A 23363-nucleotide genomic window follows, 5' to 3' on the forward strand; every position below is an offset into this window, starting at 1 on the left:
TCACATGAATCCCTAGCCCCAGTGAAGCCCTCAGACGATGCAGCCCTAGGCTGACAACTGGACTGCAACCTTGTGAGAGGCCCTGAGCCAGAAGCACTCAGGAAAACCGCTCCTGGATTCCTGACCATTAGAAACTGTGGGAGATGATGAATATTTGTTGTTTTGAGCTGCTAAGTTTTACATAATTTGTTACACAATAGTAAATAACTAATACATTTTCACAAGAGAGGATGTATTATTACACATTAATTTGCATTTGCTCTAAATTTATCATCATCATATTACTATTTTTGAGACAGGGTCTTGCTCTGTCACCCAGGCTGGAGTGCAGTGGCATGATCACCATGCACTGCAGTGTCGACCTCCTGGGCTCAAGGGATCCTCTGATCTCAGCCTCTTGAGTAGCTGGGACTATAGGCATGAATTAACATGCCTGGCTAATTTTCTAATTTTTTTGTAGAGATGGGGGTTTCACCATGTTGCCCAGGCTGATCTTGAACTTCTGGAGTCAAATCTGCCTTCCTCTGCCTTCAACAGTGCTAGGATTGCAGGCGTGAGCCACCACACCTGGTCTAAATTAACTATAAGATATTAAACATGTAACTTAGTTTTAAAAGGAAAGGAGAATTTCCACGGCTGAAGAGGATGTATTTTATTACTATTCACAATGATCACTTTACTTGAACTTCAATTTCCAACTGTGTCCAAATTAAACACAAAAGGAAGATCCAGCCCTTCCTGGGCTGATTCTATCATGGCTCCCAACAACCAGCTCCTGGTCATTCACCTTCCCCCAGTTATTCAACCAACTCTAATGTAGGTGCTGCTGTGAAGGGATTTAGCAGATATAATTAAGGGCCTCAATTAGTTGACTTTAGGCTGAGTTTATCCTGCTTGGACTGTCCTAATAAGGAGAGTCCTTGAAAGGACTGGGTTCTTCCTGAGCATAGAGATTCACAGTGTGAGAGGGATTCAGCATAAGGGGTTTCCTCCACTGTGGGCTTTGAAAATGAAGGGGCTGTGTAGGAAAGGACGCTGGTGGGCACCATGCATTGAGTGCAGCCCTCCCTGTTCTCTACAGTGACAGCCAGTGAGGAACAGGGACCTCAGTCTTACAACTGCCAGAAACTGCATTCTGCCACCTCTGTATAAGCCTGAAGGAGGATTCAAAATGAAAACACAGGTTTAGGAAGACCGGAACAGAGATTCCATCCACATCATGCCCAGATTTCTGATTAAGAAACTATAAACAACAAATGAGTGTTATTTGGCCAGGCGTGGTAGTGCACACCTGTATCCTAACATTTGAGGAGCTGACACAGGAGGAACACTTGCAGCCAGGACTTTGAGACCAGCTAGGATAATATAGTGAGACACTCGTCTCTACATTTCTTTTTAATTAGCTGGGCATGGTGGCACTTGCCTGCAGTCCTAGCTACTCTGAAGACTGAGGTAGGAGGGTCCCTTGAGCCCAGGAATTTGAGGCTGCAGTGAGCCATGATCATGTGACTGCACTTCATCCTGGATGACAGAGGGAGACTCTGTCTCTAAAAATAAATCAATGAATACAATAAATGGGTGCTGTTTAAAGCCAATGTTTGTGACAATTTGTTACCCAGTCTTATAAAATTCATACACAGACTCAAAAGACTCCTGGAATGAACTGATGAATTGATACGCACACTAGTTACATAAAATAAAATCTTTTTTAACTTTTTTAGTGTTTTACATTTTATAATTTTCTGTGATGCAATTTAATACACTCATAATTCATTCATTCAGCCAAGAAAAAATAATTTAGTCCCTACAATGAACCAGGTATGCCCTCATATGCTCAAGTGCCTGACATTCTAGAAGCTTCACAAGAATGAGGTGGAGCCACTGGAGTGTTTTAGGTGGAGAAATGACACACTCTGACTCATAGTAGCAGGACCACTATAGAGAGAACACTCATGTAGCAGGTCATGGAACAGTGCTAGAGCCACAGTTCAGGAGTGAGAGGGTGGTGGGGATTAAGGGGAGAAGAGGGCCTGAGGGATGAGAGGGACGGAGGGAAGGGCTGGAGGAGCAGGAGGTGAGGAAAAGGAGCAGAGGAAAGAATTCCAAAGCAGCAGAACTCTTAGGTTTAAACACATTGTTTTATAGATTTTAATACATCCATCTACAGAGCTTCGCTGGGTGTTCTTTGCAGTTGGCCTTTAATATCTTATGTGGGTCTGCCTAGAAACTAATTGTTTTTTATGTTAATCAGGTTTAAAAAATACTAAGTATTCCTAAAAAATATACACTCCACTCACATGTGGATACTTCCTAAAAACAGGCAGTGCGTGAGCACTAGTGAGGGGCATTGTGACTGCACTGAACACTTACAACTGTGAGGTGAATAAAGTTTGTGCTGGCTCCTGGTTGCAACATATAGTAACATAGTGTGGTACTTTGTCTTGAGGAGATGTCCTGGACTCACACGGAAACTTAGGGCTACGGAATGAAGGTAAATTTAAAATAAAACAAGCGGGAGTCACAGATACACTGTCTGGGAAAGTGAAACTTAAGAGCTTTGTGAGTCGTGTTGTAATGCTTTTAGATGCATTTATATACCAACAGGCCAAAGTCACATTTTTTACCGATTAGATTCCTGATCATTCAGGGGTTACCAAGGTTATGCTACCCACTATAGTTAATAAACAAAAAGCAAACTGGTCTCTATTCTATCTCATGCACTCAGGCACAACTTTTCCAGATTTAAGGGGGAAAAAAAACCCTGTCTTTACACCTACAATCCCAGGGCGAGCTCACTCTCTGGCAACAAGCTCCCTGGGGTGATTTTTCTTCTAGAAGAGTACAGGAGGACAGGCAAGGAGTGGGAGGCAGGGAGTCCAGTTCAGGGACAGGGATTCCGGGATGAAAAGTGAAGGGAGAGGGCCAGGGACCTTGCCGAGGGTTTCTCCCTGGTTTCTCAGACAGCTCCTGGGCCAAGACTCAGGGAGACACTGAGACAGAACGCTTGGCACAAGAGTAGCGGGGTCAGGGCGAAGTCCCAGGGCCTCAAGCGTGGCTCTCAGGGTCTCAGGCCCCACAGGCGGTGTATGGGTTGGGGAGGCCCCGCGTTGGGGATTCTCTCCTCCTTCTCCTAACCTGTGTCGGGTCCTTCTTCCTGGATACTCACCGGGCGGCCCCAGTTCTCACTCCCATTAGGTGACAGGTTTTTAGAGAAGCCAATCAGCGTCGCCGCGGTCCTGGTTCTAAAGTCCTCGCTCACCCACCCGGACTCATTCTCCCCAGACGCCAAGGATGGTGGTCATGGCGCCCCGAACCCTCTTCCTGCTGCTCTCGGGGGCCCTGACCCTGACCGAGACCTGGGCGGGTGAGTGCGGGGTCAGGAGGGAAACAGCCCCTGCGCGGAGGAGGGAGGGGCCGGCCCGGCGGGGGCGCAGGACTCGGCAGCCGCGCCGGGAGGAGGGTCGGGCGGGTCTCAACCCCTCCTCGCCCCCAGGCTCCCACTCCATGAGGTATTTCAGCGCCGCCGTGTCCCGGCCCGGCCGCGGGGAGCCCCGCTTCATCGCCATGGGCTACGTGGACGACACGCAGTTCGTGCGGTTCGACAGCGACTCGGCGTGTCCGAGGATGGAGCCGCGGGCGCCGTGGGTGGAGCAGGAGGGGCCGGAGTATTGGGAAGAGGAGACACGGAACACCAAGGCCCACGCACAGACTGACAGAATGAACCTGCAGACCCTGCGCGGCTACTACAACCAGAGCGAGGCCAGTGAGTAACTCCGGCCCAGGGAGCAGATCACGACCCCCACCTCCATGCCCCACGGACGGCCCGGGTACTCCCGAGTCTCCGGGTCTGGGATCCACCCCGAGGCCGCGGGACCCGCCCAGACCCTCTACCTGGGAGAACCCCAAGGCGCCTTTACCAAAATCCCCGCGGGTGGGTCCGGGCGAGGGCGAGGCTCGGTGGGCGGGGCTGACCGAGGGGGTGGGGCCAGGTTCTCACACCCTCCAGTGGATGATTGGCTGCGACCTGGGGTCCGACGGACGCCTCCTCCGCGGGTATGAACAGTATGCCTACGATGGCAAGGATTACCTCGCCCTGAACGAGGACCTGCGCTCCTGGACCGCAGCGGACACTGCGGCTCAGATCTCCAAGCGCAAGTGTGAGGCGGCCAATGTGGCTGAACAAAGGAGAGCCTACCTGGAGGGCACGTGCGTGGAGTGGCTCCACAGATACCTGGAGAACGGGAAGGAGATGCTGCAGCGCGCGGGTACCAGGGGCAGTGGGGCGCCTCCCTGATCTCCTGTAGACCTCTCAGCCTGGCCTAGCACAAGGAGAGGAGGAAAATGGGACCAACACTAGAATATCGCCCTCCCTCTGGTCCTGAGGGAGAGGAATCCTCCTGGGTTTCCAGATCCTGTACCAGAGAGTGATTCTGAGGGTCCGTCCTGCTCTCTGGGACAATTAAGGGATGAAGTCTCTGAGGGAGTGGAGGGGAAGACAATCCCTGGAAGACTGATCAGGGGTTCCCTTTGACCCCACAGCAGCCTTGGCACCAGGACTTTTCCCCTCAGGCCTTGTTCTCTGCCTCACACTCAATGTGTGTGGGGGTCTGACTCCAGCTCCTCTGAGTCCCTTGGCCTCCACTCAGGTCAGAACCGGAGGTCCCTGCTCCCCCGCTCAGAGACTAGAACTTTCCAAGGAATAGGAGATTATCCCAGGTGCCCGTGTCCAGGCTGGTGTCTGGGTTCTGTGCTCCCTTCCCCACCCCAGGTATCTGGTTCATTCTTAGGATGGTCACATCCAGGTGCTGCTGGAGTGTCCCATGAGAGATGCAAAGTGCTTGAATTTTCTGACTCTTCCTTTCAGACCCCCCCAAGACACACGTGACCCACCACCCTGTCTTTGACTATGAGGCCACCCTGAGGTGCTGGGCCCTGGGCTTCTACCCTGCGGAGATCATACTGACCTGGCAGCGGGATGGGGAGGACCAGACCCAGGACGTGGAGCTCGTGGAGACCAGGCCTGCAGGGGATGGAACCTTCCAGAAGTGGGCAGCTGTGGTGGTGCCTTCTGGAGAGGAGCAGAGATACACGTGCCATGTGCAGCATGAGGGGCTGCCGGAGCCCCTCATGCTGAGATGGAGTAAGGAGGGAGATGGAGGCATCATGTCTGTTAGGGAAAGCAGGAGCCTCTCTGAAGACCTTTAACAGGGTCGGTGGTGAGGGCTGGGGGTCAGAGACCCTCACCTTCACCTCCTTTCCCAGAGCAGTCTTCCCTGCCCACCATCCCCATCATGGGTATCGTTGCTGGCCTGGTTGTCCTTGCAGCTGTAGTCACTGGAGCTGCGGTCGCTGCTGTGCTGTGGAGAAAGAAGAGCTCAGGTAAGGAAGGGGTGACAAGTGGGGTCTGAGTTTTCTTGTCCCACTGGGGGTTTCAAGCCCCAGGTAGAAGTGTGCCCTGCCTGGTTACTGGGAAGCACCATCCACACTCATGGGCCTACCCAGCCTGGGCCCTGTGTGCCAGCACCTTCTCTTTTGTAAAGCACCTGTGACAATGAAGGACAGATTTATTACCTTGATGATTGTAGTGATGGGGACCTGATCCCAGTAATCACAGGTCAGGAGAAGGTCCCTGGCTAAGGACAGACCTTAGGAGGGCAGTTGGTCGAGGACCCACATCTGCTTTCCTTGTTTTTCCTGATCCCGCCCTGGGTCTGCAGTCACACATTTCTGGAAACTTCTCGAGGGTCCAAGACTAGGAGGTTCCTCTAGGACCTCATGGCCCTGCCACCTTTCTGGCCTCTCACAGGACATTTTCTTCCCACAGATTGAAAAGGAGGGAGCTACTCTCAGGCTGCAAGTAAGTATGAAGGAGGCTGATCCCTGAGATCCTTGGGATCTTGTGTTTGGGAGCCCATGGGGGAGCTCACCCACCCCACAATTCCTCCTCTGGCCACATCTCCTGTGGTCTCTGACCAGGTGCTGTTTTTGTTCTACTCTAGGCAGTGACAGTGCCCAGGGCTCTAATGTGTCTCTCACGGCTTGTAAATGTGACACCCCGGGGGGCCTGATGTGTGTGGGTTGTTGAGGGGAACAGGGGACATAGCTGTGCTATGAGGTTTCTTTGACTTCAATGTATTGAGCATGTGATGGGCTGTTTAAAGTGTCACCCCTCACTGTGACTGATATGAATTTGTTCATGAATATTTTTCTGTAGTGTGAAACAGCTGCCCTGTGTGGGACTGAGTGGCAAGTCCCTTTGTGACTTCAAGAACCCTGACTCCTCTTTGTGCAGAGACCAGCCCACCCCTGTGCCCACCATGACCCTCTTCCTCATGCTGAACTGCATTCCTTCCCCAATCACCTTTCCTGTTCCAGAAAAGGGGCTGGGATGTCTCCGTCTCTGTCTCAAATTTGTGGTCCACTGAGCTATAACTTACTTCTGTATTAAAATTAGAATCTGAGTATAAATTTACTTTTTCAAATTATTTCCAAGAGAGATTGATGGGTTAATTAAAGGAGAAGATTCCTGAAATTTGAGAGACAAAATAAATGGAAGACATGAGAACTTTCCACAGTACACGTGTTTCTTGTGCTGATTTGTTGCAGGAGAGGAGAGTAGATGGGGCTGCGCCCAGTGGGTGCTCAGGCCACCATGAACTTTATGTGGTCACTGCTCAGCTGGGTCATCTTTGCTGCTCCATTGTCCTTGGCCCTTCAGTAGAACCTTGTCCCACCAGGACCTGTGATCACATAGACTTGGATATCACCTAGGATGGTCCCTACACGTAGAAGTTCCTGTGTTATCAGAAGAAAAATTTTCAGACCCCTACACCTCTTCCCCTCCTTCCAGGTCTCTTTCAATTGTATTTTCCATCTTTTTTTTTTTTTTTTTTTTTAGATGGAGCCTCACTCAGGCTGGAGTGCAGTGGTGCAATCTCAACTCATTGCAACCTCCACCTCCCGGGTTCAAGCAATTCTCCTGTCTCAGCCTCCCTAGTAACTGGGAGTACAGGCACATGCCACAATACCCAGCTAATTTTTTGTATTTTTAGTAAAGACGGGATTTCACCATGTTAGCCAGGATGGTCTTGATCTCCTGACCTTGTGATCTGCCCGCCTCTGCCTCCCAAAGTGCTGGGATTACAGGTGTGAGCCACCATGCCTGGCTTCCCCAACCTTCTTAAAGGAAGCAGATTCTGAAACTTCCCGAGAGGAGAGGTCCCAGAGTTTTTCATTGTAGTTTACTTTCTGTTGGAACTCCTCTTCTGCTCTCTCTCCTACTCTTCTTCCTGCCCTGAGTTGTAGTAATCCTATTGCTGGCTCCAAACCAAACTCATGGATTTGTAAAGCAGAGTCTAATTTAGATTCATATGTGGTTGGATAATTGGAGCCATAAGCCTTGGGTTATCTTTCCTCAAGAGACAAATATGGTTGTGTGCTGCAGTGTGCAGGAGGATTGGTGTGGGAGGAGGGAGGGAGGGAGGACACAAAAGCAGCCCTGGTGAGAAAAGCACTGGTGCATTTATATCCACATGAGATAATATTGTTCCACAGCGGCTACAAAATGACATTTGGCCTGAGTCTACATTAATAAAGATATTGCCTTTAGAATAGGGGGGCGCACTACAGTAATCATCCATTCAAGTGGCATTTGTTGTCTGCTAGGTATTTGACTGTTTTTGCATTTAGAAAACATCGTTAAAGTAAAAACAGAAAAATTTCTGGCCTTGTCGTGTATACATTCTAGATGCAAGCTTGTCCAACCTGCAGCTCTCGGGATGCATGTGGCCCAGGACAGCTTTAGAATGTGACGATTTTTTTGCTTATCTGTAGTGGCAGATATCATGAAAATTATCCATGCATTTTTTTTCTTTTTTCTATTTTTTTCTGCTCATCAGCTGTCATTAGTGTATTTTTTGTGTGGCTCAAGACAATTCTTCTTCCTATGTGACCCAGGGAAGCCAAAAGATTGGACACCTCTGCAGGCAGATGATATAGTATAAGCAGAGTAGGAACAGAAAATGCTTGAGTTAGAAGGTGGCAAGTGCTGTGTGGCAGGTGATCCAGAGGGTGGGCTGTGGGTACAGGGAGGTGGCTGTTGTGCTGGGTGGTCAGCATGGGCCTTGTTGCAAATGTGACCTTGGAGTAAAGATTTGAGGGATGTGAGGAGTTGTCTACACGGATGTCTCAGAAAGTTCTTTTCAGGCAGGGAAACCTTCAGTGCAGATGCACTAGGGCAGGAAATTGTCTGTGTTCCTGGAAGGAGGAAGAGGCCAGAAGTGTTGAACAGAGAGAAACTGAAATGAAGTCAGAGGTGTGCCCAGAGCAGGTTGCCCTGGAGGGTGTGGGAAGGATGTTGACCTTTGCTCTGAATGACATGGGGAGTTAGAGGACAGTTTTGGAAAGTGGGACATGGTAGGACTTATCCTTTGAAAGCTTCTCTCTGGCTGCTGTGCTGAGAACAGAATTGAGAGGTGGGGGACTAGTGAGGCAGTGGGAAAAACGGTGGGAAAGGAGTGCAGTATTCCAGGATGGAGACGTCGCTTACCTTGACTGGGGTGTGAGCAGGGGAAATAGTGGGAAGTGATGGGATTCTGGATGAATTCACAGCACTTGCTAATGGATTTATCTGTGGTGTGAGAAAGAAGAATCAAGGACACCCACAGTATTGGACTGAGTGAGCAGAAGGGTGGAGCTGCTGTCAATGGAGATGGGGAGACTCTGGCAGGAGCATACAGAGGAGAGGGCATTGCAGGCATCCAGTGGAGGTGACATCTACGAGGAATGAAGGTGAGGGGCCCAGATGCCTCTGCAGCTACAGATTCATCATCCAATCACTATCCTACTTCCACCACCCCTGTGTCTCAGAGCCAGAGCATTGATTCTCCCCTGTGCTGTCTGCACAGGTAGGTGAAAGTCAGGGAAGTTATGGTCTGCTGTTGGTTATAATAAGTCACAGATTATTGTGCTTTCTCAGATAATTAAAGAAATAATAAGAGAATTTGTAACTAGAACACTTACTGAGAAGACCACAATAATGCAAAGTTTTTTATTCATCTAAAGAAGGCAACAGAAGAAAAATAGTTGAGCAAGAAAGATAATATTAGAAGGCAGTAAATGAAAATGGACAGACTTAAACCCAATGAGGTCAACAATGACATTAAACGTAATGGACTCAGACACTCCAATTACAAGACAAATAGTGCAGAGGGATAAAAATAAATAAGTAAATAAATAAATAACCGTAGGCTATTTACAAAAGCCATAATTTCAGTAGAAGGTACAGAAAAGTTGAAAGTAAAAAGATAGAAAAGAAATACCAGACAAACATTCATGAAAGACCACATGGAGATGCCATTTAGAAAAATTACAGCACATGAGTCTCCTGAGACATAGAGTACATGTAGACAGCTCACAGTGTCTTTTTCCTTTTTTTCAGAGACAGGGTCTGTTGCCCAGGTTGAAATGCAATGGTGATATCAGACCTTACTGTAACCTCAAACTCCTGGGCTGAAGCAATTCTCCTGCCTCAGCCTTCTGAGTAGCTAGGACGAGAAGCCTGTGCCGCCACACCTGGCTATAATGTCTCATTTTCTCATTTGCTGTGGTGTGAACAAGGAAACAATATCATACCATGTATTTGACTTGCAGCAGGTACACAACAAATGTCAGGTGAATGAAGAAATAAAACCACTTAGTAATCCAAGCCATATCCACATTTACATTTTACAGGTGAGGAGCAACATCCCAGACAAGTAAAGTAAAATAAATTGATTTACATCATCCAGAGCAGAATCGAGAACACATTCCCTGTGCTAAAGGAATCAGAACTCTACTAGGGGTCATAGCAGATATCATGCAAGTCACATATGTTAATTACTAGAACTGGAGTTGATACATTTTGAGATATACTAAACCAAGGGTTTGGAAGGATTAACTGAATGCAGAAATAAAGGAAGAAAATAGATTTGTTTAAAAGATGGTTAGAATCTTTAAAGAAACAACATCTTTTTAAAGTGGCCTTATGTGGACCAAAGCAGAGATGAGCTCAAATGTCAGGTGGGAAAATGCTTGACTAAATGCAGCTCTAGACCCAAGGGAGACCTAAAAATCCTGGGACATTTTCGGTTGTCACGTGGGGATTGGTGGGAGGGGGTGAGTGGGGTGCTGCTGGCAAACCTCCCACAATGCACAGGACAGACCACAAGGGATTCTCTGTCTCAAATTCTTAATAGGGCTGCTGTTGAGAAACCCGCCCGAGAGGTAAGTGCTGTAATGTCCTCACCATTTCACAGATTAAGAAACTGAGGCACCAGGAAGAAAAGTGTCAGTAGGACCAGAGCTGAAGGTTGAATCCAGGCCACCTGGCTGCAGGGTCTTGGCTTCCCTGGTTAAGTCAGGGACCCAGGAGCCCACCACAAACAATCCCAGCTGCGCGGTGCCTTCATGGTCTGTGGCGCCCCCTGGTGTTGACACTGGGCCTGTGGCCAAATGAGGCTTGAGGGAAAAGGAAAACGGGTTTAGGTAGCGGGATCTCCTTCAGGCTCTCCAGATTTCAAGCCATGACTTACACTCAGAAAAAATAATGTTCACCTTAATTATCTCCCCAACCCTGTTTTTCCCAGTTCCGGCCAGTACCCTCCCTCGACTCCATCAACATCAGTACCTGCCAGATGCCCAGCACCCACCATGTGAGGAGTGAAAATGCCCCAGGACTAAAGGACAAGATGACGTTCCACCCCAGCCATCCCGCCCCTCCTAGAGCTCTAGCTCTGTGCATTTAGTGCTTAGGCTTTTAACCTGGGGTCCGCGAACCCACTTTCCCATGACACTGCGTGCAGAAGTGATGTTACATGCACACATGACTTCATTACAGGACATTGGATATTAATATTCATCCGATCAACTGGGGGCCCAAGATACCACTCTTCCCCCAACAGTTTGTGATCCTCTGAATTAAAGAAAGGGCAGAGATTGAGGGAGGCCCTAACTCCAAATCTTCTACCACTTCTAGGGAAGTGCTGAAAAGAAGTGCAAGGTACTCAACCCGCTCTGGGAATACAGCAGGAAAGCAGAGTGTTCATGGATTTCGAATTCCATCAAAGAAATACAACTTTGGCAAAATATCCAAGTCACTTTTCTAAGCCCCAGGCAGCAGCTCAAAACAAACAACACCAAAAACAAAACAAAATCTCGGCCCAGGTGAAATCATTGAAGACATAAAACTTTGTGAGACCTGTATTTAGAGCGAAGGACAATTCAATTTAGGGCTGCAGCAGAAAACCCCTACATCATATTGGGTTTTTCCTCATCATGAAGTTCTCCTGGAGGGACCTTCTCCCTTCAGCAGTGCATAGTGAGGCCATTTCTGTGTAAAAAGATAGAATCTCCTTGGATTCCTGATGTTTACATTTACTACTCACTTCTTTGACTTTGTAGATGCCAACTTCACATTCAACATCTTTCAATTATTTTCTTTACTTTGTCTAAGCAGAGAATTTAAACTTGTTTCTGAAGCAGAAAACCAGGGACTGGTTATTTGAGCTATCACCCCACTCTGTGGCTCTCTTATGCAATAAGCATAAGAGATTGTGGGCCAACAGAATTTGTAGCAAGATAAACATAAACCCTTCATTTCAGCCTATGTTTCTGTTTGTCTGGTGATGTTCCAGTCTTGCTCCAGTCTTAACATTTTAAAAAGTATAATTTTACTTAAATTTCATTTTATAGGAAGTCATATGTATTCATTTCTGTTAGGTTTCTCAGTGAAAGCCTCCTCAAAACAACTGTGAAGTAAAGACATGTAAATAAATTCATGGTGCTCCCATGTATTCGTGCTCATTGCATCTTACAAATGTGTCAGCCCCACTGCAACAGATGGTGCATCAACAAATGGTGCTGGAAACCTGGATATCCACATGCAAAAGAATGATGCTGGACAAAATTTATGCCCTTCCATTACACCCTTTTCAAAAATTAAGTCAGAATGCCTTAAAGAACTAATCTTAAGAGTTAAACCTGTAAAACTCTTAAAAGAAAATACTGAGGGAAAGTCTTATGGTCATTAGAATTGGTAGTGGTTTCTTGGCTGGTGACCAAAAGTACAAGCAATAAAAGGAAAATGACAAATAAGACTTCATCAAAATGTAAAAACTTTTTTGCATCAAAGGACGCTATTAAGAGGTGAAAAGAGGCTAGGCGCAGTGGCTCACGCCTGTAATCCCAGCACTTTGGGAGGCCAAAGTGGGTGGATCACCTGAGGTCAGGAGTTCGAAATCAGCCTGGCCAACATGGCAAAACCCTGTCTCTACTAAAAATACAAAAATTAGCCGGGCGCAGTGGTGGGCACCTGTAATCCCAGCTACTCGGGAGGCTGAGGCAGGAGAATCGCTTGAACCTGGGAGGCAGAGGTTGCAATGAGCTGAGATTGCACCATTGCACTCCAGCTGGGGCATCAGAGAGAGACTCCGTCTCAAAAAAAAAAAAAAAAAAAAAAAAAAAAAAAAAAAAAAGTGAAAATAAAAGAAACTGCATAGAATAAGATAAAATATTTGCCAATCACATATCTGATAAAGAATTAATATCCAGACTACATACAGAACTACAACTTAACAATAGCAAAACAATCTCATTCAAAAATGGGTAAAAGACATGAATAGACAATTCTCCAGAGAAGATACACAGTAAGGACATAAAAATAAGGAATTCCAATAAGGACATGAAAATATGCTCAGCTTCACTAGTCCAGGTGTTGGTGAGGATGTGGAGAAAATGGAATGCTTGTGCACTGCTGCTGAGAGTGAACAACAGTGCAGCCATCATGGAAACAGGATGACGCTTTCTCAAGAAGGTAAACATAGAATTTCCATATGAAGCAACAATTCCACTTTTGGGTGTATACCCCCCAAAAATTGAAAGCAGGTATGCACACAGATAATTGTACAGTCATGCTCATAGCAGTGCTATTCCCAATAGCCAAAAGGTGGACGCAACCCAAGTGTCCATCAGAGGATGATTGGAAAAACAAAATGTGGTGCATATACACATGGAATATTAATCAGCCTTAAAAGTGAAGAATATTTGGATTGGATGGAACCTTGAAAACACGCTAAATAAAATAAGCCAAAAAAAAGGCAAATATGATATTTCACTTATATGAGGCACCTAGAATAAGCAAATTCACAAAAACAGAAAGTAGAATACAGGTTACCAGGGGCTGAAGGCAGGAACAATGGGCAGCTGTCATTTAATGGGTACAGTCTCTGTTGGGATGATGAAAATGTTCTGAAAATGCATGTTGGTGTTTGTGTAACCACCATCAATTGTAAATGTGCTTAATGCCAATGAATTGTACACTGAAAAAAATTGTTAGAAGGTAAATCGTATAGTATGTGTGTTTTACCACAATTTTAAAAATATATATCAACACCAAATCCAATCACTTCTCACTCCTCTGCCACCTCCACCCCAGAACCATCCTCACTAGGATAGAAAACCGGAAGGGCCTTCCAGCTGGGCTGCCTGCTGACTCTCATGCCCACTGTCCATCACCCACACAACAGAGAGAGCGTGCCTTTCCAATGGGAATTAGGGCATATCCTATGAACGCTCCAGCTCCTTCCCTTCTTAGGCACAAGGAAACCCCAGTTTCCCACCATTTCCTATGCACTCCTTATCACAGGGTCCCCTCTGGCCACTTTGGCCTCATCCCATTACTCTCAGCCTAGCTCATTCTTCTCCACTCACACCAGTTTCTTGTCTACTCCACCCTGTCTCTACCACCTGCCCCTGCTGTGACTCCCACATGCATGTGCTGCCCAGTGATCCACATGGCTCACTCCTCACACCATTAAGGTCCCTGCTTAAATGTCCCATGGTCAAGTGTTCAGAAATGTCTTGTCCAGTGACCTCTTCTGAAATCTATCCCCTGCCATTCCCACCACCGCCACCAATCTTCTAACCCAAGCATATTTTTCTTAATGGCAATTATCAGTGATACTATGACAGGTTTTATTTGTTTATTGTCTGTTGATTTATTAAGGTTACCAAGAAAGAAAGAACCAATAGCATAGGTACATAGATGATAGATAGATAATAGATAGATAGATGATAGATGATAGATAGATGTTAGATGATGATAGATAGATAGATAGATAGATAGATAGATAGATAGATAGATAGACAGACAGATAGATAGGTGATTTATTGGGCTAATTGGCTCACACAATTATGGAGGCTGAGAAGTCCCATGATAGACTGTCTGGAAGCTGGAGAACTAGAAAAGCCAGTAGCGTGGCTCAGTCCAAAGTCAAAGCCCTGAGGACCCAGAATACAGAACAGGAGGATAAAGGGGCTCACTGGTGCAAAAGTCAGAGTCCAAAGATCATCGAACCTGGAGTTTTGATGTCCAAGGCAGGAGAAGAAGGGTGTCCCAGCCCCAGTTCCAGAGAGAGAGACAGAGACAGAGAGAGACAGAGAGACAGAGACAGAGAGAAATTTTACTTCTATCTACCTTTCTGTTCTATCTGGGCCACTAGGTGATTGGACTGTGGCTGCCCACAGTGAGAGAGCATCTTCCCCACCAGTCCACCCACTCACATCCCTTCCAGAAAAACTCTCACAGACACTGGTTTAATACTTACAATTTGAGTAGTCTATAATTTATTTTTTTGAGATTGGGCTTGCTGGCTGGAGTGCAGTGTTGTTCATGGCTCACTGCAGCCTGAATCTTCCAGGCTTAAGCAACCCTCCCACCTCAGACACCCAAGTAGCTGGGACTACAGGCATGTGCCACCAAGCCCGGCTAATTCTTTTGAATTTTTTGTAGAGACAGGGTTTCTCTATGTTGCCTAGGCTGGTCACAAACTCAGGGGCTCAAGCAATCTGCCAGCCTGAGCCTCCCAAAGTGCTGGAAGTACAGGCATGAGCCACCATGTCCATCCTGAGTGTTCTATGAATTTTTAAAATCACAACCATAGAAGAATCTTCATGTACAAACATGCTTGTCAAAATATTCTTTACCAAAAGACAAGATGAAAGCACATGGATCTAAAAGAACCCTGGTGACTTCTCCTTGTTTGAGATGGGATGCAGCTTCTAGAAGTGTGTAAATTTTATGCAGACTTTATGACATGGAAAACTACTTTCATAATAATACATTCAAAAAGCAACTTCAAAATAACCCACAACCACTCTGGGAGGCCAAGGTGGGTGGATCACTTGAGGTCAGGTGTTCAAAACCAGCCTGGCCAACAAGTGTAACCCCATCTATATTAAAAACACAAAATTAGCCAGGCGTGGTAGTGCACATCTGTAATCCCAGCTACTCGAGGGGCTGAGGCAGAAGACTCACTTGCATCCGAGATGCAGAGGTTGCAGTGAGCCGAGATCATGCCACTGCACTCCAGCCCCTGGGGGACAGAGTGAGACTCCATCTTAAAAAAAACCCCAAAACTTATGAATGCAACTTTCTACAATGAAAGCATATATAAAAATATATACATAGAAAACAAAAGAATGGAAGTCAGCATCACTGCAGAAGATAGCTCCAGGGATGACCATTCACACTGCAGTCCAGGAAGTTTCAATAATATGATAGCAGTGGTTCTTTGGAGGGGAAGCCTGGGTGATATTTCTTTCTTCTCTGCATTTTTTTTTCTTTAAAATTCAACCAGGTGTTGATGTGTGCATTTTAAATTCTTCTGTAATCAAATACATTTTCATATTTCTAATGTAGAAACATGTATTTTTAACATTCAAAATAAAACATTTGAAGTAAAATAACAATGAAAAGTGGCTGAACACTGTGGTGGGCACCTGTAGTCCCAGCTACTCAGGAGGCTGAGATAGGAGAATGGCTCGAGCTCACGAATTTGAGGCTATGGTCACACCTGTGAATAGTCACTGCTCTCCAGCCTGGAGAACATAGTGAGACCTCATATTTAAAATAATAATAATAAAAAGAAGTTCAGATCTCCTTCCAATCTCAACCTAAAACAAATTTCTCATTTGAAGTCCATATGGCAGAAATGCCTACTGATGGCTCCTCCAGAGAGTAAAAAAAATATTGTTCCTCTACAATCCATGACTCATCCTTCTGTTACAGTGTTCACCTGGGCAATGAAGTCAACACTGAGAATATCATCAATTTATGGAATACTGATTATCTCTTTTATAGATATATAAATTATAATTATGTATATATATATTATATTATAATATATATAATTACCATCACACCTGAGAGAGTGAGATGGATTCTTTTCTTCCACAGATGAAAATCTGAGTCCCTGAGAACCTAGGGTTTTGGTATGGGTTCACTGAAAATGTTGGCCTTGAGAATTAGGAAACAGCTTCCTGCAGGCCTGCCTGGATGTGAGCCACACCAATGGAGTCTCCACAACAGCAGGAAGAGCAACTGAGAACCCTGGAAGCTTCACACTTGTAATGTTCCATGTCCAGCGGCATTCAGTTGATGGATGGGCCAAGATAAGAATACAGCTCCTTCCTTCAATTGGGGGTGGCAGAGGGGTGAATCAGTCAGCTACACATAATGTGTGTGGTGTTTCTACAGATATCTTTAATTACTCTGCTGAGAACTCCACCTCAAATGTACAAAAACTCTGTACTCACTGGTAAGCAGGATCCTTTTTAGGAAAGCAAAGGACTTTGCTGACTTAAGCAAAACATTTTCTCTCCAAATGAATTATCCTGATTGGATAATCTCTTACTCCCACTGAAATTAGCCCCAGAGTTGCATTTGAGCATTTGGGTCAAAGACAGAAAGTCATTTTGAGGGTTGGGCCTGGCTGATCTTGGACAATGTTCTGAAAGAGGGCTTTCTACTTGCAGAAGAACAAAGGTTTGCTCTGGGTAGGAGATGATGTCCTGAGAAGAAAAGACAGATAGGCAGATTCTCAAGCAAACTCAGGAGTTTACTATACAAAAGATTTTGGAATACCTTCCTCAGCCTCTTTTTCATTGTGGTAAAATACACATAAACACAAAGGATACCACCGTAACCATTTAAAGTGCACAATGCAGTGACAATTCGTATGTTCACAATGTTATGTAACCATCATCACTCTCTAGTTCCAGAGTGTTTTTATCACCTCAGGGGGAACTCTGCACCCATTAAGCAGTCACCCTCCATTTCCACCTGCCAGCAGACCCTGTCGCCACAAATCCACTTCTTTCTCTATCGACTTGCCTCTTATGAATATTTCACAAAAATGGGCTCATAAGTTACGTAGCCTCCTGTGACTGGCTTCCTTCACTTGTCTTGTTTTCAAGATTCAGCAATGTTTTAGCATATGCCAGTGCTTTATTCATTTTATGACCAAATAATATTCTATTGTAGGAAAAAACTATATGTTGTTTCTCCATTCATTGGTCGATGGACATTTTCTTTTAAATCAAATAGGAAAAACAAGAGAGGAATTACAAATATATATATGTGTGTGTGTGTATATATATATGTCTTGTAGGGTTGAGACAATCTCAGTCAGCTTTTTTTAACCTGTGAATGTCGTGATTTCTCCATCATTTCTGAAGGAGAGTTTTGCAGACATACAATTCTTGGTTGATAGTCCTTTTACTTTCTCAGCTTTAAATTTGTCATCCCAACGCCTCCTGAACCCCATGGTTTCTGATGAAAATTTGTATGTTAATCTTATTGAGGATCCATTGTACCTGAAAAGTTCCTTCTCTGTTATTGCTTTCAAGATGGTCTGTTTGTCATTGGTGTAGACTGGTTGATTATAACGTCTCTCAGTGTGGACTTCTAAAATTCTTGCTGCTTAAAATGTATCAAGTTTGTTGGATGAGTAAAATTATATTTTTCATCAAATTTAGGAGATTTGAAGTTATTATTCCTCCAAATAGCCATTCTTCTTTTTCTCTCTCCTTTCTTTGAGGATTCCCAAAATGCATATGCTTGGTGTTGTCTCACAGTTTTCTTAAGTTCTGTTCATTTTTCTTCATAATTTTTTTTTATTTCTGCACCTCAAACTGGATAATTTCAATTGTCTTACCTTTAAGCTTGCCGATTCTTCATTCTGCATAGTGAAAGTTGCTTTTGTAAAAAAGTAAATAGTAAATTTACTCTAGTAAAATATAGTAAAAAATAGTAAAATTACTCTAGTAAATTTTTCATTTCAGTTATTGCACTTTTCAGCTCCAAAATTTCTATTTGGTTTCTTTTTAAACTTTCTATCTTTTTATTGATGTTCTCTATTTGAGTTAAGATAGTTCTTCTGATTTCCTTTAGTTTTTTGCCCATAGTTTCCTTTAGCTCTGTGAACATATTTAAGCAGTCAATTCAAAGTTGTTTGTCCAGTAAGTATGTTCAATGGCCTTTCTCAGGAACAGTTTCTGTCAATTCCTCTTTTTTCTTGAGAATGGGTCTTACTGTCTAGTTTAATTGCATACCTCATTTTTATTTTGAATACTAACATGTGGTGACTTTGAAAATCATGTTTTCTAAACTATTTTTGTATAGACTGTATTCTTTATTGTGTGTCATCACTGAAGTCTCTATTCTGTAAGCTTAGTGGTCAACTCATGATTTGATAGATATTTCCTGAAACATCTTCAGCCAAAAAGAAATAAGAAAAGAAAATTCAATCTTTTTATCTGGGCTCTCTGTGTGTTTTGGGGCATGCCCTCAACACTCTGCTGGGCAGTTTACAATACTGCTTTGGCCTTCATTTCCTACTTGTGCAGATATTGAAAGTTAGCAAGAGGTGTGAACACAGGGCATTCTCAGGTGCTTTGTGAGTCTGTGCGACATACTGGTCATGGAGGAGGCTATACAGATTCCCAGGGATATGGAAGCTTTTCAAAACCCATATTCCCATCTCACTCACCCAGTTTCTCCTCCAGGCTTTTCTGTATGTCTATTACCTTTCTCATGTAATATATTTTTGCCCCAAGGGGGCAGCTGCTGGTTCAGTGGCACTTAAATGGTTTTAGCAGATGCCCTCTGCCTCTGTGACCTAAGAGAGTTCTGAGTAGGGAAAATAAATGCAAACCATTTATTTTCTTTTTCTTTCTTTTTTTTCTTTTTTTAGACAAGGTCTTGCTCTGAAGCCCAAGCTGGAGTGCAGTTGCACGATCCTGGCTCACTGTAGCCTCAACCTCCTGGGCTTAAGCAATCCTCCCACCTCAGCCTCTTGAGTAGCTGAGACTACAGGCACATGCCATAATGCCCAGTTAATTTTTGTATTTTTTGTAGAAATGGAGTTTCACCATGTTGTCTAGGCTGGTCTCAAACTCCTGAACTCAAGAAATGCACCCAGCTGAGCTTCCCAAAGTGCTGTGATTACAGGCATGAGTCACCATGCCCAGCCCAATGTAAGCCATTTCTTATCATCCTTCACGGAGTCACCCAACAGGAAAAGGTAGACAACCACAACACTTTGAGAACATGGTCCACTCGGCTCCCACTGGCATTGGAGCCCACACTAAGGAACCAGGCTGCTGTCTTCAAGATCACTACTGACTTGAACAGGGAGGAATGGGCCAAGGGTAAGATATGGTGCCACAAAGCTCTGCTCCTGAGTTCCAGTTGATTTTTCTGGACTTGCTAGGTTGCAATAAACCTTTGATGATTTTTCAGGGTTCCAATGCAGTTGATTCTTTATCAACCCAATCAGAATATCTGGTGGTAGGTCCAGGAATTCTTGCTTTAACAGCTCTCCGAGGGAATTTTTTTTTTTTTTTTTTGATGGAGTTTTGCTCTTGTTGCCCAGGGTGGAGTGCAATGGCATGATCCCGGCTAACTGCAACCTCTGCCTCCCGGGTTCAAGCGATTCTCCTTCCTCACCTCCCGAGTAGCTGGGACTACAGGCGCGAGCCACCACACCCAGCTAATTTTGTATATTTAGTAGAGACTGGGATTCTCCATGTTGATCAGTCTGGTCTCGAACTCCTGACCTCAGGTGATCCCCCCACCTCGGCCTCCCAAAGTGCTGGGATTACAGGCATGAGCCACCATGCCCAGCCAAGGGATTTTTTTTTATAGTGATGTTTTACAAGCACATTGTCTCTGTGCAGAGGTGGCCCTTGGAGTTCCTATGCCACTATGTTCTCTGATGTCACTCCTCAGCCACCTTTGAATTGTGCTTATGCATCAGAATTCCTGATCTGCTAAGTACTTCCAGGAAACTCATTCAAATGGTAAACATCATTAAGCACCTACCTTATTCTGGGTACTGTGCTCTATGGAGTTGAGCCTCAGATAAAAGACTCAAACTTCCTTGGACTTCATAGAAGTCAAAGGTGGGGGTGGGAAGATAAATAAAGAAATTATAGCACAGCATGTTATGTATTTTACATGACTTTTTTCTTTGAAAGCTACATTATTAATATTTTATGACAGTACTGAGTTACATATACCAAAGATTACAAATTAAAATTTATGCTTTCTTTCTCTCTTTTGTTCTTACATATTTCTCTGTTCTTGTAGATATTTTGAAATTGGGTATTATGGAGACAGTGCAACAGTTTCATTTATATGATAATGTTTTGTTTTACCTTTATTCATCAAAGAGAGATTTGTCAGCTGCAAATTTCTAGTTTGACATTGGTTTTCTCTCAGATCTTTGATGATTATGTTGCTTCTGGCTGCTGTGGCTGACAGGGGATAGTCAGTTACATTTTAACCAGTTGCTTCTTAGAGGATCTGTGTTTCTCCTGTGGCAAATTTTAAGATATCTGTTTCTCTTTAACATCTTCTGTTCCAGTGCAGTATGAGTAAATGTGGATCTCTTTTTATTCACAGTGCTATGATACTGTTAGGTATGAGTTCTAAATTTCTCTTAAAATAATTAACATGTCAGTATGTTCAATTCTTTGCCCTCTACTTTTAAACTTAACTTCCTCATAAAGCAACCTTTTTTGATCACCTGTTCCACCCTGACTCATCCTGATTACTTGCTCCAGCCTGACTCATTCTGGTTACCTGCTCCACCCTGACTCATTCCAGTCACCTGCTCCACCCTGACTCATTCTGATTACCTGCTCCACCCTGATTCATCCTGATTACTTGCCCCAGCCTGACTCATTCCAGTTACCTGCACCACCCTGACTCATTCTGATCACCTGTTTCACTCTCTTTAAATTAGCCAATCTGAATTAGTTTAGCCTGTGCGGTCTAACCCTAGCCAATAGGGGAATAACACAGCAGCAGGGGCCACGTGCATCAGGGATAAGAACCCCTTCCCCTTCCTTGTCCAGGGGTGTGCTCACCATTGCTCCATCTGTGAGGGCACACCCTTGTATAGAAGTAATTGCCTTGCTGAGAAGAAAAAAAGAAAATTTTATATTTGAGTGCTATTTCTTTGTGGCATCAAGACTTTATTTACAATAATACATTTCCTTAATATTTTAAGATAACCTCTTTCTGGAATGCCTCTTTCCATTTACTCACTTCTCTTCTTCTAGGAATTTAATTAGAGAAGAATTAAATTAAACCTCATTCAACCACCATATACACTGTGGAATCCAAAATAATGGCCTCACACATATGTCCAAGCCCTAAGACGCAGACCATTTAGATATGTTACTTTACACAGCAAAAGGGACTTTGCTGATATGATTAAGAGCATGGACCTTTAGATGTGGAGATTATTTTGTATTATTTGAGTGGCCCCAATCTGATTGCATGATTTCTTTAACCTGGAGATGACTGGAGAAATATGGGTCAGATGGAGTGCTGAATTTCATCTAGAATAATTTCTTAATCTAGTAAAATAACATCATCTCTGTTTTTTATTCTTTAATTAAGTGGCAAAATGCATTAAAAGGTTTAAAGTTTAAATATCCTTGCATTCTTGGGCTATATACCTTGGTCAAGACAGTCTGTTTATAACACATTGGTTAATACAGTCTACTAATATTTTTCTTAGAATTTTCACATCTAATTAATTAAAAGTGATTTTCCTATAATAGGTAAATAGTAGAAGGGGGTAAGTCTCTTATTTTACAAATTATTCAAATAATACATGAAAAGAAATGGAAGACTGAGACTACAACTCTTTGCCATCCGTAATGAATGAACAGATCTAGCCACTGAACAGCAATGACAATTTTCATCACCAAAGGGAAATAACCAGTATTAAACTCTTCCCCTTGTTGAAAAACATGATATAGTACCACCAAAACTCACGGGGAAAAAAATCTGAATAGATGCAAACCTCTATACCAAACTACAAATTTCTAGAAAATGCAGGTAATAGAGATGCATATTAAACCATAGTTTGGGGTGCAATCCACAAAATACAAACAACAGGAAACTCTACCAGACAATATTAATTTCAAAGGGATAACCTATAGAACAAATAAGAACAAAAAACTTATTTTTAAAGGTAAAACTAAACTATCATTTGGGATGATGAAAATATAAAATAGAACAAAGAAGTGAGGACCACAAAAGTCAGGATGTGATTGATTTTTATTTGAAAAAATAAAAATTTACTATTGAACTGGGTCAATTGATGGGGCTTCTAGGTCAGCTGACAAACTTCTCTCTCTTTCTGATGGTTAAAGAGTGTTTACTGTTGATTAAAGGTCACCATTTTAAGATTTTTTTTCTTTTATGTCACCTGTGTTTTATGACAAAAAGGCGAACGCAGAATAAAATGAGTTATGGGGCACGGTTCCTGTTCTGCACAAAGCCTCCTCCCCATCCTCCTCTCTGGACACTGAGCACCCAGAACAACCGGCAGCCCCAGGACCCCTGGCAGGGCTGTCTCATTACTGAGTGTGCATCCAGCTCCACGGTTCCTGTTCTGCACAAAGCCTCCTCCCCATCCTCCTCTCTGGACACTGAGCACCCAGAACAACCGGCAGCCCCAGGACCCCTGGCAGGGCTGTCTCATTACTGAGTGTGCATCCAGCTCCACGGTTCCTGTTCTGCACAAAGCCTCCTCCCCATCCTCCTCTCTGGACACTGAGCACCCAGAACAACCGGCAGCCCCAGGACCCCTGGCAGGGCTGTCTCATTACTGAGTGTGCATCCAGCTCCACGGTTCCTGTTCTGCACAAAGCCTCCTCCCCATCCTCCTCTCTGGACACTGAGCACCCAGAACAACCGGCAGCCCCAGGACCCCTGGCAGGGCTGTCTCATTACTGAGTGTGCATCCAGCTCCACGGTTCCTGTTCTGCACAAAGCCTCCTCCCCATCCTCCTCTCTGGACACTGAGCACCCAGAACAACCGGCAGCCCCAGGACCCCTGGCAAGGCTGTCTCATTACTGAGTGTGCATTCAGCTCCACGTCGCTGGAGACAATGTCCACAGTTTATTTTTTGAGTCCTGGATGAACCTGACAGGACATAGCTGAGGGGAAGCCTGGCCCAGTCTG

General features: G+C 44.5%; 1 protein-coding gene and 2 pseudogenes across 7 annotated transcripts, besides 1 other annotated feature; 1 reads left to right on the top strand and 2 right to left on the bottom strand.

Moving 5' to 3' along the window:
• On the bottom strand, positions 1576-2561 carry HCG4P8 (HLA complex group 4 pseudogene 8; annotated as a pseudogene).
• On the top strand, positions 1921-6468 carry HLA-G (major histocompatibility complex, class I, G). 7 transcript variants are annotated; one of them, NM_001384280.1, is made up of 9 exons: positions 1921-1994; positions 2450-2491; positions 3283-3364; positions 3494-3763; positions 3990-4265; positions 4865-5140; positions 5263-5379; positions 5825-5857; positions 6215-6468. In NM_001384280.1, the coding sequence occupies exons 2-8, from the start codon at positions 2486-2488 to the stop codon at positions 5827-5829; spliced, it is 1032 nt and encodes a 343-aa protein (NP_001371209.1). In that variant the 5' UTR covers positions 1921-1994; positions 2450-2485; the 3' UTR covers positions 5830-5857; positions 6215-6468. The 7 variants fall into 7 exon arrangements, with proteins under 7 accessions (NP_001371209.1, NP_002118.1, NP_001350496.1 ...); NM_002127.6 differs by lacking the exon at positions 1921-1994 and having other exon boundaries at positions 2414-2491; positions 3180-3364; NM_001363567.2 differs by lacking the exon at positions 1921-1994 and having other exon boundaries at positions 2414-2491.
• Positions 9035-10575, bottom strand: HCGVIII-2 (HCGVIII-2 pseudogene; annotated as a pseudogene).
• Positions 20408-21607: an enhancer, noted in NCBI's record as "P300/CBP strongly-dependent group 1 enhancer chr6:29812738-29813937 (GRCh37/hg19 assembly coordinates)". NCBI's record gives its function as "activates an origin of replication core promoter dependent on BRD2, BRD4, P300/CBP, MED14 and CDK7 cofactors, with strong dependence on P300/CBP, by STARR-seq in HCT116 cells {active_cell/tissue: HCT116}" and the evidence as "EXISTENCE:reporter gene assay evidence [ECO:0000049][PMID:35650434]".

Source organism: Homo sapiens, chromosome 6, assembly GCF_000001405.40.
Source record: "Homo sapiens chromosome 6, GRCh38.p14 Primary Assembly".
Lineage (NCBI taxonomy): Eukaryota > Metazoa > Chordata > Mammalia > Primates > Hominidae > Homo > Homo sapiens.